The sequence below is a fragment of the Homo sapiens genome, chromosome 17 (assembly GCF_000001405.40).
Source record: "Homo sapiens chromosome 17, GRCh38.p14 Primary Assembly".
In the NCBI taxonomy this organism is placed as follows: Eukaryota; Metazoa; Chordata; class Mammalia; order Primates; family Hominidae; genus Homo; species Homo sapiens.
In genome coordinates, this window is record NC_000017.11 from 2,804,562 (window position 1) to 2,820,192 (window position 15,631).

At 52.8% G+C, this 15,631-nt stretch overlaps 1 protein-coding gene across 10 annotated transcripts in view, besides 1 other annotated feature; it reads left to right on the top strand.

The window, feature by feature from the left end:
* The window catches only part of RAP1GAP2 (RAP1 GTPase activating protein 2), a 282,097-nt gene that overhangs the window by 48,917 nt on the left and 217,549 nt on the right, over positions 1-15,631 (top strand). Inside the window, exon 1 of one of the 10 annotated variants that reach the window (XM_017024371.2) lies at positions 4,399-4,594. The exons of the other annotated variants lie outside the window; for them this stretch is intronic. Coding sequence (XP_016879860.1) covers positions 4,542-4,594 — 53 coding nt within the window. The 5' untranslated portion in view covers positions 4,399-4,541. Of the gene's footprint in view, positions 1-4,398; positions 4,595-15,631 lie in introns of those variants that run through there. 10 annotated transcript variants of the gene reach the window in all.
* Positions 2,846-3,447: an enhancer, noted in NCBI's record as "NANOG-H3K4me1 hESC enhancer chr17:2710701-2711302 (GRCh37/hg19 assembly coordinates)". NCBI's record gives its function as "activates a minimal SCP1, AML or CMV promoter by ChIP-STARR-seq in primed H9 embryonic stem cells {active_cell/tissue: H9 hESC(primed)}" and the evidence as "EXISTENCE:reporter gene assay evidence [ECO:0000049][PMID:30033119]".

A 15,631-nucleotide genomic window follows, 5' to 3' on the forward strand; every position in this document is an offset into this window, starting at 1 on the left:
AGAATCCGTGGCCGCAGAATGCACCTCCGCCTCCACGACACCGTGGGTGAGAAGGCCGCCCCTGGTTTGCTGGGGCCCATCCCCTTGCTGGAGGCCTGGATTGAATGGGGTCTGTGGTGCCTGGATGAGTTGGACACTCAGAAGCAAGGATTTACTTAACTGCAGTGCAGGGGTACAGGGGCTATGGAGCCACGTTGGAATGCTGGAGGGGAGGTGGCAACGGTACCACGCAGGAGAAGGAGGCTTGTGTGTGGGATATAGCCTCAGGCTAACACACAGGCAAATCGTTCACCTCTCTGGGTCAGTTTCCCCGTCTGTAAAGGGTTGGATTAGCGTCCAGCCTTCTCTCTTCCAGCCTTGACGTTCTAGGAGTTTGCATTCATGCCTTGAATCCTTTCGTATTTTTCTCAGGACCTTGGTGATGGTAGGCGCTCGCTGTTGAGTGAGTGAATGCATGGCTGTGTGAATGGAAGTCTCTGAGAGCAGGGGCTCTGTGCATTACATCCCTGACTCCTTAGGGCCTACCCAGTGCCTGGCACAAAACAGGTTTTCAGTCTGTATTTGCTGAATGAATCAACATGTGTCATCATGGTTGGCCCATCACATGCAGGTGGAAGGAAGGAGAGAAAGAGGCAGGCTCAGCGTGTGGGGATCCCTCTTCTCCAGTCCGCTCTGGGGGCCAGCTGGGCATGAGGTCCCTGTCGGGCAGGTGCCTGGGGTTTTCTTGTGGAGCTCCTTGAAGGAGCAGCCGGAACGGGAGGATCTGAGCTGGGAGCCTCCGAGACACTCCTCTTGTCCTTTATTTCTTTTTTGAGACCGCGTCTTGGTCTGTTGCCCAGGCTGCAGTGCAGTGGTGCAATCTCGGCTCACTGCAACCTCCGTCTCCTGGGTTCAAGCGATTCTCCCACCTCAGCTTCCCAAGTAGCTGGGATTACAGGTGTGCACCACCACGCCCAGCTATTATTATTATTATTATTATTTTTGTATTTTAGTAGAGATGGGGGTTTCACCATGTTGGCCAGGCTGATCTCGAACTCCCGACCTCAGGTGATCCACCCACCTCAGCCTCCCAAAGTGTTGGGATTACAGGCGTGAGCCACTGCACCTGGCCAAAACCTCTGCTCCTTTTTGCTACCCTCTGTGCTCTCTCCACAGAGACCCCTGCATCTTTGCTAAAGAAAGAGATGCGTGTATGTGTGTGTGTGTGTGTCTGTCTGTCTGTCTGCTGCATGGGCTCCAGCTACCTGAGGTGACCGTCATGCACAGGGGCTGGCTGCGGTGGCCTGGAGTGAGCACGTGAATGGTTCAGGGTAGCCTGTCTCCACTGCTGGAGCACATTCTCATGCACACTCCTGAGGGGTGGGGAAGTCTAAAATCCATTGCCTTGTAGGAAAAAAATCCAGCTTAAATTTAAGTGGGTGGCTGCAGCCCTTGGTCCCTAGAAGTGGCACCTCTGGAGAGGGATGAAGCCCATGATGGGACCTGGGTGCAGCTGTGCTCTGTGATTTCTTCCCTAGGAGAAGGACGGGGAGGGCCTGGAGGAGCTCCTGCTTGGCTGGGCCAGCATGTCAGTTCTACTGTGGTTTGGCCAGAAGATACCACACAGCCACCGCTATTCTAAGTTTCAGATTTAACCAGCTAAGAATTGAAAATCCTGCTAGAAATGAAGGGGCCATGAAGGACAGGGCTCAGTGTGTCTCCGGGCAGCTTTCCTAGGTCCCTGGGGACTCCAGTGTCAGCTGCTGGAGACATTGTCCATGAGAGCAGGGGCTTGCCACAGCCAGGAAGCTTGATTTCTTCTCTGCTACAACCTTTTTATTATTATTATTATTATTATTATTATTATTTTGAGAGGGAGTCTCGCTCTGTCGCCCAGTCTGGAGTGCAGTGGTGAAATTTCGGCTCACTGCAACCTCCACCTCCTGGGTTCAAGCGATTCTCCTGCCTCAGCCTCCCGAGTAGCTGGGATTACAGGTGCGGCCCACCGTGCCCGGCTACTTTTTGTATTTTTTTTTAGTAGAGGCGGGGTTTCGCTGTGTTGGCCAGGCTGGTCTTGAACTCGTGACCTCAGATGATCCACTTGTCTCGGCCTCCCAAAGTGCTGGGATTACAGGTGTGAGCCACTGGGCCTGGTCTATTATTATTATTTTTATTTATTATTATTATTTTTGAGACAGAGTCTCACTCTCTCTCAGGCTGGAGTGCAGTGGCATGATCTTGGCTCACTGTGACACCTCTGCCTCCTGGGTTCAAGTGATCCTCCTGCCTCAGGACCATACCCAACTATTTTTTTTGTATTTTTAGTACAGACGGGGTTTTGCCATGTTGGCCAGGCTGGTCTCAAACTCCTAGCCTCAAGCGATCCACCTGCCTCGGCCTCCCGAAGTGCTGTGATTACAGGCATGAGCCACTGTGCCTGGTCTGCCACAACCCTTTAAACTCAGGCTTCCCTCCCCATGCTGTGAGAATTATGCACAACATGGGGCACGTTTTTGTGGCTAATTTTTGTATTTTTAGTAGAGACGGGGTTTCGCCGTGTTGGCCAGGCTGGTCTCAAACTCCCGACCTCAGGTGATCCGCCTGCCTCGGCCTCTCAAAGTGCTGGGATTACAGGCTTGGGCCACCGCCTCCGGCCGTTGATTCCAATTTAATGACTCTTTTCATTCACCAGTTGAAGGCCACACCTACCAATTCATTCCCCCACCTTTGGCCACTGGGTCTTTGTTTACTGTAGATTACAAGAATTCTTGAGGCACCACTACGATGTTCTAGAACCCTCTGGGGCCAACTCATCTTAGTCTGCTCTTCTCCTACACACCTAGGGCATCTGCTGAGAGTTTGCTGGGGTTGTCAAGGACAGGGGGAGCTTGAGGTTTTTGGGGGTAGACAGCTGAGTCAGTTCAGCCTACATTTACTGGGCACCTACACTCTGCAGGGAGACAGTTGCCATGGCACGGGACAAGGGCTGCGATGCCCACAGAAAGGATGGAGGGGGGCCTCCTGGAGACCTGGTGATGCCTGAGCTGTCTCCAGGGGTGCGTAAGGTCAGCAGGGAGGAGAGAATGCACTCCAGGTAGCCCGACCCTCACGAAGGCAGTGGGGCGTGAAGCAGCTTCAGCAGGTGGGACCTGGGAGCAGTTACTATTACCAGACAGAAGCGAGGGTGGGAGTGCAGGGGGCTGGGGGAAGGCAGGCCACGTCTGGGAGGGTAGGTGAGCTATGCTGGAAGTGGGGCTGGATCAAAGGGCTTAGGACTAGGGGAATGCTATGGTGAGCTCGAGTCTGAGAGCCCCTCTGGCTGACTGGAGGGGTTAGAGAGGAGGCAGGGCGGCCAGGAGGGGATATTGAGACAGCCACGTAAAGAGGTCCCCGGAGACCCTCCGCTGGCCTGCGCCCTGGGGTGAGGCCTCGGGAAGTTCGCACTGTTTCCAGCGGGGAGGATCCTGGCCATTCCTGTTTGGAGGTGGTAACCTGGGGATCCAACCTGTGAGATGGAGGCCTGTTAACAGGAACCTCTCTTGCTTTGCTGAGCTTTTTTCCTTTCGCCCAGTAAATCCCGTTGTTCTCACCCTTCTGTCGTGTCCAAGAGCCTAATCTTTCTTGGTGGTGTGACAAGGACCCCGTTTTGAGCTGAGCTCAGGAGAAAGTCCCATAATAGCATGGGGCTGGAGGGAGTGGCCTTCCCTGCCTGGAGCTGGTTTGGAAGGTGTGGGTGAAGGTGAGAAGAAGGGTCAGCTGAGGACTCTCAGAAGGCTTCCTGTGAGCGCTGGGTGGATGCTGGTCCCATTCATGGAGACGGAGAACTAGCGAGTTTGGGCAGTTTGGGCGGGGAAGGAGGGAGTAAGACTCTGAATGTAAAATCTTCCCTCCACTTTCCACTCTCCTGTTTGGTCTGTCTGAGACCCACCATATACCTCCTGCCCTGTGGAAGGGGGCAGAGGAGAGAGCAGCATCCTGAGGGCCGTGGGGGCTGGTCTGCGGCCTGGGAAGCAGCTGCACGGCGTCCCCTCGCTGGCCCGGCTCGGCTCCTGGGTGCCTTTGGCAGGTGAGTTCCAGGTGAGCACTGGCCGGTGTGGCCGCCCTTGTGACTGACAGCTGGCCACACCACAGAACCCACTGTTAGATACCCTCCAGGTGGGTCGAGGAGAATGTGCCCATTTCTGTCTTGAGTGGCAGACTCTGGTTCGTTGATTTCTTCAGGATGGGCCCTGTGCCTGAGGACAGTGTTGGCATGTGTGGGGGCATGTGGGTGTGTGCAGATACGTGTAGGCGTGTGTGCACGCTCGCCCATGCAGGTGGACGTGAGCGCTGAGGGCCCATGTGGGTGCCTATGTGGTGCCTTTTTTGGCTTTAGCGAGTTCCTATGGTAACCATGAACATGCCTGTTTTGGGATCTGGAGTCTCGGGGCGTGCGTGGCTGCAGGGAGAAGCAGGGAAGGCGAGCGCTTAGCCGGTGGTTGGCTTGATTTCATTACCAGGCACCGGGGCTGCTCCTGGAGGTACCATTTGCCAGGCGGCAAGGTCTGCAGACTCCAAGACCCATGTGCTCCTGGCCCTCCTCCTGGCCAGTCCCTGCCATGCCCAGGAAGCCCTGGTGAGTCCCTGTTCTGGTTTCTCATTGGACAAACAGCTCCCCGGACTTGGCCAGGTCTTGTGGGTATCTGCTGATGGGCAGGCAGGGAGCCGGCTGGCAGCCCTGGCCAGTAGGTACCAGGAATTGGGGCTCTTCTGAGATGAGTGTGGGACAGTGGGCAGGAGGGGCTTTGCCTATTCACGGAGCCCGTGAGGGTGTTTTCCATGTGGCTGGTGGAGTGGCATGGTCCTTGTGGGTCCCATGGACAGGGCTAACCGTGTGAGTGTGAGGGTATGGGCAAGGACGCCGGAGAGGAAAATGTGGACCGGGTGGCCTGTGGCCCGCCAGCCGAGACCCAACCATCCCCGGAGGCCCCCCTCACCCCTCTCAGCTCCCCGGGTCCTCATGAACCCCCAGGCCTCTGGCCATGCACTTGGGCTTCCTCGCTGGTCTCCCCAGGCCCAGAGGCCTGCTGGCCTGGCCTGGATGGGAAGACTCACGGTCCTGTGGAAGAGGCCAGAGGGCTCTGCCCGGCTCGCTGGGAGCTGGATTTGGCCAAGGCCGGGGAAGAATTGCTCCCACTTGGCTCTGGAGAAAGACTCGTGCCTCCCCAGATTGTGCACCCCCTGGTGCTTCTTGTCTACACACTGCAGACCCATGGGTGTGTCAGGACACCCCTCTCCAGCCACCGCGGGAGAGGCTCTTGATGGACAGGGGCCCAAGCAGCCCTCAGGGGCCGTACAGAGACGACGCTGGTGTCTGGGAGCGGGGTGGCACCTTCTATCCCCTTCCTCCCGCTGGCTCCTCTGGGGCAGCTAGCAGGGAGTTGGGGATGTGAGTGTCAATAGGGGCTGTCAGTGGCCCCTCTGGCTTGTGCTGGGACCCTCCCCTCCCCCCGCCCCACCCCAGGAGTTCCTTCCTCTGCCTCTGAGAAGGCTCTGGGTGAGGCTATGCTGGGACCGGGGGCTGTGTGTGGAGCAGGAGTTGCTAGGGCTGGACAGAGGGCTGAGGCCCTGGTGAAGGGCGAGGGGAGCAAATGTGGACCTTGCGAGCTTTGTCTGGACCACCCCGGCCTTCCCTCCCTGGGAGGCAGAGTCCAGAACCTAATCCCCGATGGCCTTCCCTGGGGGCGCTGGGAGAGGGAGAGGGGAACCTTCAGGAGAGACCCCCAGATCTCTAGAGTCTTTGAATCTTAGGGCTTGAGATTTAAAAAGTCAAATTAGTCGTTTTTTTTTTTTAATTATACTTTAAGTTCTAGGGTACATGTGCACAACATGCAGGTTTGTTACATATGTATACATGTGCCATGTTGGTGTGCTGCACCCATTAACTCGTCATTTAACATTAGGTATGTCTTTTAATGCTATCCCTCCCCTGTCCCCCCACCCTTTTTTTTTTTTTTTTTTTTTTTTTTGAGACGGAGTCTCGCTCTGTCACCCAGGCTAGAGTGCAATGGTACGATCTTGGCTCACTGCAACCTCTGCCTCCCAGGTTCAAGTGATTCTCCTGCCTTAGGCTCCTGAGTAGCTGGGATTACAGGCATGCGCCACCACACCCGGCTAATTTTTGTATTTTTAGTAGAGATGGGGTTTCACCACGTTGGTCAGGCTGGTCGCAAACTCCTGACCTCGTGATCCGCCCGCCTCAGCCTCCCAAAGTGCTGGGATTACAGGCGTGAGCCACCGCGCCTGGCCAACAAAAGTCAAATTAGTCTTTATGCAAATCTCCTGTGCCCCTAAAACTAGTCACCCAGGCTGAGCTTGGTTACCTGTGGGGACAGTGAGCTCATTACCTTGTATGGATGCCTATTTTATTGTAGTACAACTTTGCTCGAAGCTGACCGCTGTTTTCATCTGGAATCTCTGTAACTGCATTGCTCGGTCCAGTCTTGACCCTTGGCCCGCACGTCCCCACTTACCCCCATTCAACAAGGTTCACCCCTCTTTCCACTAAGAGCCCTGCAGACACTGGAAGGCTGCTTTTTCACCCTGAGTCTTCCCTTCCCTCCCCTTGGCTGGTCACCCCGGCCTCTGCAGCTATATTTGGGATTCCTCACCTGCCTGGGCTGATCTTTGTCGGAAGGGTTCAGGTTTTGCAGGCACCCTGCAGGAGCCCCATGGACACGAGGATGGACAGCTAGAGGCGATGGGCCTCACCCTCCTTATTTACAGATCAGTAAGCTGAGACCCTGAGCAGGGGTGCTGCTAACTTGCGATAGGACAACACAGAGGTGGTCAGGGCAGGGTCGGGACGTGAGGGGCTGCTCTTGTCGTCTGTGACGTGCTGGCCCCTGGTTCTTTTCCTGCTTCTCCATCAGCTCCATCCTTGCTGCTTTCTGACTTGGACCCTCAGCTCTTGGGCACTGCAAGAATGCTGGCCTGTCTTAGCGGATCTTCCATTTTATAACAGCAGCTGGAAATCCGTTTCTTTGTGTGTGTATTTTTTTGTTTTTTTGTTTTTTGAGACGGAGTCTCGCTCTGTCACCCAGGCTGGAGTGCAATGGCACGATCTTGGTGCATTGCAACCTCTGCCTCCCGGGTTCAAGTGATTCTCCTGCCTCAGTCTCCCGAGTAGCTGGGATTACAGGCATGCGCCACCATTTCTGGCTAATTTTTTGTATTTTTAGTAGAGACAGGGTTTCACCACGTTGAGCAGGCTGGTCCCGAACTCCTGACCTCAGGTGATCCGCCCACCTCTGCTTCCTAAAGTGCTGGGATTACAGGCGTGAGCCACTGCGCCTGGCCTGATTTTTGTATTTTTACTAGAGGCGAGGTTTCACCATGTTGGCCAGGCTGGTCTCGAACTCCCAACCTCAGGTGATCCCCCCAGCTCGGCCTCCCAAAGTGCTGGGATTACAGGCATGAGTCACTGCGCCTGGCCGGAAATCTGGAGTTTTAGACAAAATCTTGACAACTAACTGCAGACTTTAAAGAACAGAGCTGGCCGCAGCCTACCCTGCAGACCAGAGTCAGCCGGACCCTCTGCTCTGCTCACCTCCTTAGGCCTCAGCTCTTGTTTCTTTGTGGCTGACTCCCAAGTCCCTCTCCCCAGGTCATCCCCAAGAACAGTGCTCTTGCCCCGACCTCAGTGGCTGGCTGGTCATTTCGGCTCTGTTCCCAGACTGAACTGACTCTCAATTAACCTTTTCTCTCTTTCAGATCCAGTTCTTTTCTGTCACTGGGTTGAGAAGCCTCTGAGTCATGGGGGGGTGGTTCCTCCTGTCTCCCGGTTCAGGCCCATTATCTCCTGCCCAGTGACACAGGCTTTCTAATTAACCTCCTCCTCCGGTCTCTGCCAGCTGTGACTAACTCTTCATCCCTCAAGCTGGCTCCAGCTCTGCCTTCCCTATTACTAGACGCTGGCCCGAAGGCAGACCTTGATAGTGCTGACTCTGATGGGCTTCTCATGCCAGGATGCTGGTGTAGGGACCCCCAGCCCCCATCTGGTGGGGGGCTGTCTTTGGGTCACAGCAAATAGTTTGTTTGTTCCTTCCTTCCCTCCCCCAGGACGGTGGTTCTCAAACTTTTCTACAATTTGGTTTCACCTGGAGGTGCTTTTAAAAATTCTGATGCCGGCTGGGCGCAGTGGCTCACACCTGTAATCCCAGCATTTTGGGAGGCCGAGGTGGGTGGATCACCTGAGGTCAGAAGTTCGAGACCAGCCTGACCAATATAATGAAACCCTGTCTCTACTAAAAATACAAAAACTAGCCAGGCGTGGTGGTGGTTCCCTGTAATCCTAGCTACTCAGGAGGCTGAGGCAGGAGAATCGCTTGAACCCGGGAGATGGAAGTTGCAGTGAGCCGAGATCGCACCATTGCACTCTAGCCTGGGTAACAAGAGTGAAACTCCGTCTCAAAAAAAAAAAAAAATTCTGATGCCCAGGTTGTACCCAGTTCCAATTAAATCTGAATGTCGGAGGGTAGAACCCAGCATCAGTACTTTTTTTTTTTTTTGAGATGGAGTCTCGCCCTGTCGCCCAGGCTGGAGTGCAGTGGTGCAATCTTGGCTCACTGCAACCTCCGCCTCCCAGGTTCAAGCGATTTCTCCTGCCTCCGTCTCCTGAGTAGCTGGGATTACAGGTGCATGCCACCATGCCCAGATAATGTTTTGTATCTTTAGTAGAGATGGGGTTTAGTAGCCATGTTGGCCAGGCTGACCTCGAACTCCTGACCTCGTGATCTGCCTGCTTCAGCCTCCCAAAGTGCTGGGAATACAGGCGTGAGCTGCGGTGCCCAACTATACTTTTAAAAGATCCCCCGTTCATTCCAATAGGCAGCCAAACCTGGGAAGCACTTCCCCAAGGGATACACAAGTGTGGTGACCGTCAGTGGTTGGGCAATGACTCAGGTCAGGCTGGATGTTAAAATGGGCTCCTGGTGGGCGTGAGCCCTCTGGGCCAGGGCTTCTGGTAACATTTGAGGCTGGCTGACTCTTTGTTTTACGGTGCCATCCTGTGCGTTGTAGGGTGTTGCGCAGCCTCTCTAGCCTGTATCCACAAGATGCCCACAACCCACCCCTCACTGTGATAATGAAAATGTCTCCAGGCCAGGCATGGTGGCTCACAAATCCCAGCACTTTGGGAGGCCCAGGCAGGTGGATCACCTGAGGTCAGGAGTTCGTCGAGACCAGCCGGGCCAACATGGTGAAACCCTGTCTCTACTAAAAAAGTACAAAAAATTAGCCGGGCATGGTGGCACGTGCCTGTAATCGTAGCTACTCGGGAGGCTGAGGCAGGAGAATCACTTAAACCCGGGAGGCGGAGGTTGCAGTGAGCCGAGATCGCACCATTGCACTCTAGCCTGGGCAACAGAGTGAGACTCCATCTCAAAAAAAAGAAAAAAGAAAAGAAAAAAAGAAAATGTCTCCAGACGTTGCTCTATTTCTGGGGCAGTGGTATAAAATCTCCCCGACTCCGTTGAAAACTACTGTTCTAGGCCTAGTAGGTTCACCTTGACAGCATTCTCAAATATTCACAGAAGAAAAGGGGCAAAGGACACCAAGTGGGGACCCCAGCTTACTGATTGATTTGTGGGCTTGGCAGTCAGGCAGCCTCTGTTTAAATCCTGACTCTACCAGCTGGGTGACCTTGGACAAGTTACTTAACCTCTCTGTGCCTCTGTCAGTTCTGGTTTTGTTTTCTCACAATCGTGCCTCCTCTTGATCTTCAGCTGCAGCCCGAGGGTGGAACTTGCTGTGTGTGGCTGGGCACTTTCGCCTGTGGCTGTGCTGCTCTGCCCACAGGGAACATGCCTTTGCTGCCCCTTCCCTGTCAGCATCAGGGTCACAACCTGCCCGTCCTTCCAGGGCCAGCTTCCATGCAGCTTCCTCCACGCACAGCCCCTTCCCCATCGGCATGGAAGGCTCTCTTCCTTGTGCCCCTGGGGCAGCCGGAACCTCAGGTCACATGCAGCTCCTCCCGCGCCGTGGGGATCTGGTGGTTTCTGTCTGAGTTCCTCCCCACTTGGGGTCTGAGACCGTGGGAGCCTCTAGCGTGCCCAGCTCGGGCTGTCTCACTGTTTGTTACCCAGGTGAGGTGGCTGTCCCCTCCCTACCTTGGGTTGAGCTGTGAACCAGTAGGTTACCGCAGTGTGGTACCACCCCCCCCAACCCCAACACCCAGCTCATTCTGAGAGGGTGGAGTGGGCGGAAATCCGTGCCTGGCAGACCACAAAGCCACATAACTGACTTTTGTAGCCCTGCCCTGGGGTGTTGGGGGGGAGGGTTGACGGCAGCCATTGCCCCTTTCTTCGGTGCTTTGCCACCAGCAGACGCCCCGTGGAATTGAGGAGCTTTGTTCTACGAGCTCGGGAACGGGACTTGGGAGGGACAGCCCCTGTCCCACCCTGCCATGCCCTGTTCAACCCTGTCAGGCAGCTGAACGTAGGCTGGACCCATGGCTGCCCACCCTGGCTGCAGTACAGAATCACCTAGGGGACCTCGTTAAAATGCAGCTTCCGGACCCCACCCTGGGGCTTGGGGATTCTGCCTCATCAGCCTGGGTGGGGCCCAGGAAACCTGTGTGTTACCAGCGCTGAGGTGCTGCTGATGAGGCAGCTGGCTTCACAGCTGCACGGGAACCAGTGCCGTTTAAAGCACTTTCCCCCACAGTGCGGCTCCAGCAGTCAGGTTCACGTACTCTGGGTGACCTGGGGCAGGCTGCGCAACCTCTCTGTGCCCCAGTTTCTTTGTCTGAGGATAATAACAGTACCTGCACGTGGGTGCGCTTGTTGTGAGGCTTAAATGAGATTATCCAGGTGAAATGGGAACAGAGTGCCTGGTACCTAGTGCTCAACACATGTAACCTGCCTTAACATCTCTGATATTATTATTATTATTATTATTATTATTATTATTATTATTATTGAGACAGAGTCTCGCTTTGTCACCCAGGCTGGATTGCAGTGGCATAATCTCAGCTCACTGCAACCTCCACCTCCCCGGTTCAAGCGATTCTCCTGTCTCAGCCTCTTGAGTAGCTGGGATTACAGGCGCGCACCACCACGCCCAGCTAATTTTTGTATTTTTAGTAGAGATGGGGTTTCACCACGTTGACCAGGCTGGTCTTGAACTCCTGACCTCAGGTGATCCGCCCACCTTGGCCTCCCAAAGTGCTGGGATTACAGGCGCGAGCCACCGCACCCGGCCCCATTTCCGATATTAACAACAGTCCTGGGCTGTGCGGTCACACACGTGTAACTGTGCGATGTGCCCTCGTGCCTGCAGGCGTACCTACGCAGGCACACTGAGCATTGTGTACCGGGACCCAGGCCTCCCTGCTGAGGACAGAGCATCCCTGTGGTACATGCGTGGACGCAGTCACTGGCTGGACGTGGTCAGAAGGGCAGACGTGTGTGTACACAAGGCCCAGACAAGCGGGTTTTTATTTGATTCACACTCTGACCTTATTCCTTGAGTTAGCAGCACCTGGGCTGAGCTCTGGGAGCCCAAGGTGCCCCTTGTTTCCATAGCAACCATAATCTGGTAAAAATAGGCGGGGGAGGGAAGAGCTGGAAGAGGCCCGAGCCGGCTCCGGGGGCATCCTGCCTGCTAAGGTCCTTTTTTCCACATTGCTGACCATACAGAGGTGCTGTTTTGTTTTGTTTTTTTTTTTTCTTAGGATAATGACATGCAAACCTCTGAGTACTCATGACTCAGAATTGACACTTGTTAACATTTTTTCTCATTTTCATCAAACCCTCTTATTTATTTATTTATTTTTGAGACGGAGTCTCACTCTGTCGCCCAGGCTGAAGTGCAGTGGCGCGATCTTGGCTCACTGCAACCTCCGCCTTTCGGGTTCAAGCGATTCTCCTGCCTCAGCCTCCTGAGTAGCTGGGATCACAGGCGCCCGACACCACACCTGGCTAATTTTTATATTTTTTAGTAGAGATGGGGTTTCACCATGTTGGCCAGGCTGGTCTCGAACTCCTGACCTCAGGTGATCCACCCACCTCGGCCTCCCAAAGTGCTGGGATTACATCAAAGTCTTTTTAAAAAACTGTGTTAAAATATACATATTATAAAACTTACCATTTAAAGCATTTTTAAGTGCACCATTCTGTGACATTAAGTACATTTACAATGCTGTGCAAGGATCACCATTATTTCTAGAAGTTTTTCATCATCCCAAACTGAAACTTCGTATACATTAAATAATAACTCCCTATTCCCTCATCTCCACAGCACCCTGCAGCCACCATTCTGCTTTCTGTTTCTATGAATTTGACTGCTCGGTGAACTGTGTATAGGTGAAATCACACAGTACTTGTCCTTCTGTGTCTGGCTTATTTCACTTCCCATAATGTCTTCAAGGTTCATCCATGTTGTAGCGTGTGTCAGAATTTCCTTTTTTTTTTTTTTTTTTTTTTTGAGATGGGGTCTTGCTCTGTTGCCCAGGCTGGATTGCCGTGGTATGATCTTGGCTCACTGCAGCCTCCACTTCCCAGGCTCAAGCGTTTCTCGTGCCTCAGCCTCCTATGTAGCTGGGATTACAGGTGTGCACCACCACACAAGGCTAATTTCTGTATTTTTAGTAGAGATAGAGATAGGGTTTCGCCATGATGGCCAGGCTGGTCTTGAACTCCTGACCTCAGGTGATCCGCCTGCCTCGGCCTCCTAAGGTGCTGGGATTACAGGGGTGAGCCACCATGCCTGGCCTAGAATTTCCTTTCCTTTTAAGACTGAATAATATCCCATTGTTGCATGTATCACATTTTGTTTATCCATGTGTTCACTGATGGACATCTGAGTTGCTTCCAATTTTTTTTTGCTGTTGCGAATAATGCCACAGTGAACGTAGGTGTATAAATATCTGGGTCTCTGTTTTCAGTTCTTTTGGGTATCTATTTAGGAGCAGAATTGCTGATCGTATGGCAATTCTATGTATAGTTTTTTTTTTTTTTGAGGCAGGGTTTTACTGTGTTGCCCAGGCTGGAGTGAAGTGGCATGATCTCGGCTCACTGCAACCTCCGCCTCCCTGGTTCAAGTGATTCTCCTGCCTCAGCCTCCCAAGTAGCTGGGATCACAGGCGCCTGCCACCACACACGGCTAAATTTTGTATTTTTAGTAGAGACGGGGTTTCACCATGTTGGCTAGGCTGGTCTTGAACTCCTGACCTCAGGCAATCCAACTGCCTCAACCTCCCAAAGTGTTAGGATTACAGGCATGAGCCACTGCGTCTGGCCTCTATGTTTAATTGTTTTTGTTTTGTTTTGTTTTTGAGATGGAGTCTGGCTTTGTTGCCCAGGCTGGAATGTAGGGCACAATCTCAGCTCACTGCAACCTCTGCTTCCCAGGTTCATGCCATTCTCCTGCCTCAGCCTCCCGAGTAGCTGGGACTACAGGTGCCCACGACCACGCCTGGCTAATTTTTTGTATTTTTAACAGAGACGGGGTTTCACTGTGTTAGCCAGGATGGTCTCAATCTCCTGACCTCGTGATCTGCCCTCCTCGGCCTCCTAAAGTGCTGGGATTACAGGCGTGAGCCACTGCGCCCGGCCTCTATGTTTAATTTTTTTAGCTTTTTTTAAAATTAAAGAAATAAAACACACACATAAAGTTAAGTTCCGGTCATCATTTCTGCTTGCCTCCGTTCCTCTATTTCTTCCATCCATAGGGGCTACCATTAGCAGGAATTTTGTGTTTTCTCTCAGCCCACTTTATTTATTTATTTATTTATTTATTTATTTATTTATTTATTTATTTATTTTTGAGACGGAGTCTCTGTTGCCCAGGCTGGAGTGCAGTGGTGCGATCTTGGCTCACTGCAACCTCCGCCTCCCGGTTCAAGTAATTCTCCTGCCTCAGCCTCCCAAGTAGCTGGGATTACAAGTGCGTGCCACCACGCCCGGCTAATTTTTGTATTTTTTTTTAGTAGAGATGGGGTTTCACCATGTTGGCCAGGCTGGTCTTGAACTCCTGACCTCAAGTGATCCACCTGCCTTGGCCTCCCAAAGTTTTGGGATTGCAGGTGTGAGCCACCGTGCCCGGCCTCAGCCCACATTTTTAATGCTTTCACATTCATACACAGGTATCTAGAAACATTTATAGTTTTTGTGTGCATTAAAAAGGGACATACCTGACATCCTTTTGAATTTGTGTGAGGTGGCGTTCTGGCGCTAGATTGCCTGGGTTCAGATCTTGGCTCTGACACGCAGCAGCTGTGAGACCTCAGGCAGGTTCCTTCATCTCTCCATGCCTCCCTTTTCTAATCTTTGAAACTGGACTAATAGCAAAGCCTGAAACCTACTGCAAGGGTTGTTTTGGAGACTGAGTAAGTTTATACATGTCTAGTGCTTAGAACAGAGAGGGGATGTAGCAGACACAGGATGGATATATTACCATTATCGTTCTGCATGTGTGTCTGTCCACATGGTTGTAAAGTCTATTTTTTTTTTTTTTGAGACAGAGTCTCACTCTGTCGCCCAGGCTGGAATGCAGTGGCGCGATCTTGGCTCACTGCAAGCTCCGCCTCCCAGGTTCACGCCATTCTCCTGCCTCAGCCTCCCAAGTACCTGGGACTACAGGCGCCCGCTACCACACCCGGCTAATTTTTTTTGTATTTTTAGTAGAGACGGGGTTTCACCGTGTTAGCCAGGATGGTCTCGATCTCCTGACCTCATCATCTGCCTGCCTTGGCCTCCCAAAGTGCTGAGATTACAGATGTGAGCCACCATGCCTTGCTTTTTTTTTTTTTTTCTTTTTTTGGAGACTGAGTCTTGCTCTGCTGGAGTGCAGTGGCAGGATCTTGGCTGACTGCAACCTCTGCCTCCTGGGTACAAGTGATTCTCTTGCATCAGCCTTCCAAGCAGCTGGGATCACAGGAGCATGCCACCACACACTTTTTTTTTTCTTTTTTGACGGAGTCTTGCTCTGTCACCCAGGCTGGAGTGCAGTGGTGCAATCTCGGCTCATTGCAGCCTCTGCCTCCCGGGTTCCAGCGACTCTCCTGCCTCAGCCTCCTGGGTAGCTGGGATTACAGGTGCATGCCACCATGCCCAGCTAATTTTTGTGTTTTTGGTAGAGACGGGGTTTTTTGGCCAGGCTGGTCTTGAACTCCTGACCTCAGATGATCCACCTGCCTCGGCCTCCCAAAGTGCTGGGATTACAGGCATGAGCCTCAGCGCCTGGTGATAGATCTAGTTTCTTCTCTCTTTCTCCTTTTTTTTTTTTTTTTGAGACAGGATCTCACTCTGTTGCTCAAGGTGGTGTGATCCTGGCTCACTGTAGCCTCAATACCCCCAGGGCTCAAGTGATTCTCCAACCTCAGCCTCCCACGTGGTTGGGACTACAGCATGCACCACCATGCTTGGTTAAGTTTTTAAGAAATTTTTGTAGAGATGAGGTTTCACCATCTTGCTGTCTCAAACTTCTGGGCTCAAATGATTCTCCAACCTTGGCCTCCCAAAGTGTTGGGATTACAGGCGGGAGCCACCACTTCTGGCCTAGTTTTTTCTTTTTGGTGCCATGCATATTAATTTGTACAAATAGATCACATTTTTTTTGTATCCCCCATTGATCCCCTCTTGCTGGACACCTAGGTCGTTTCCATTTTCTG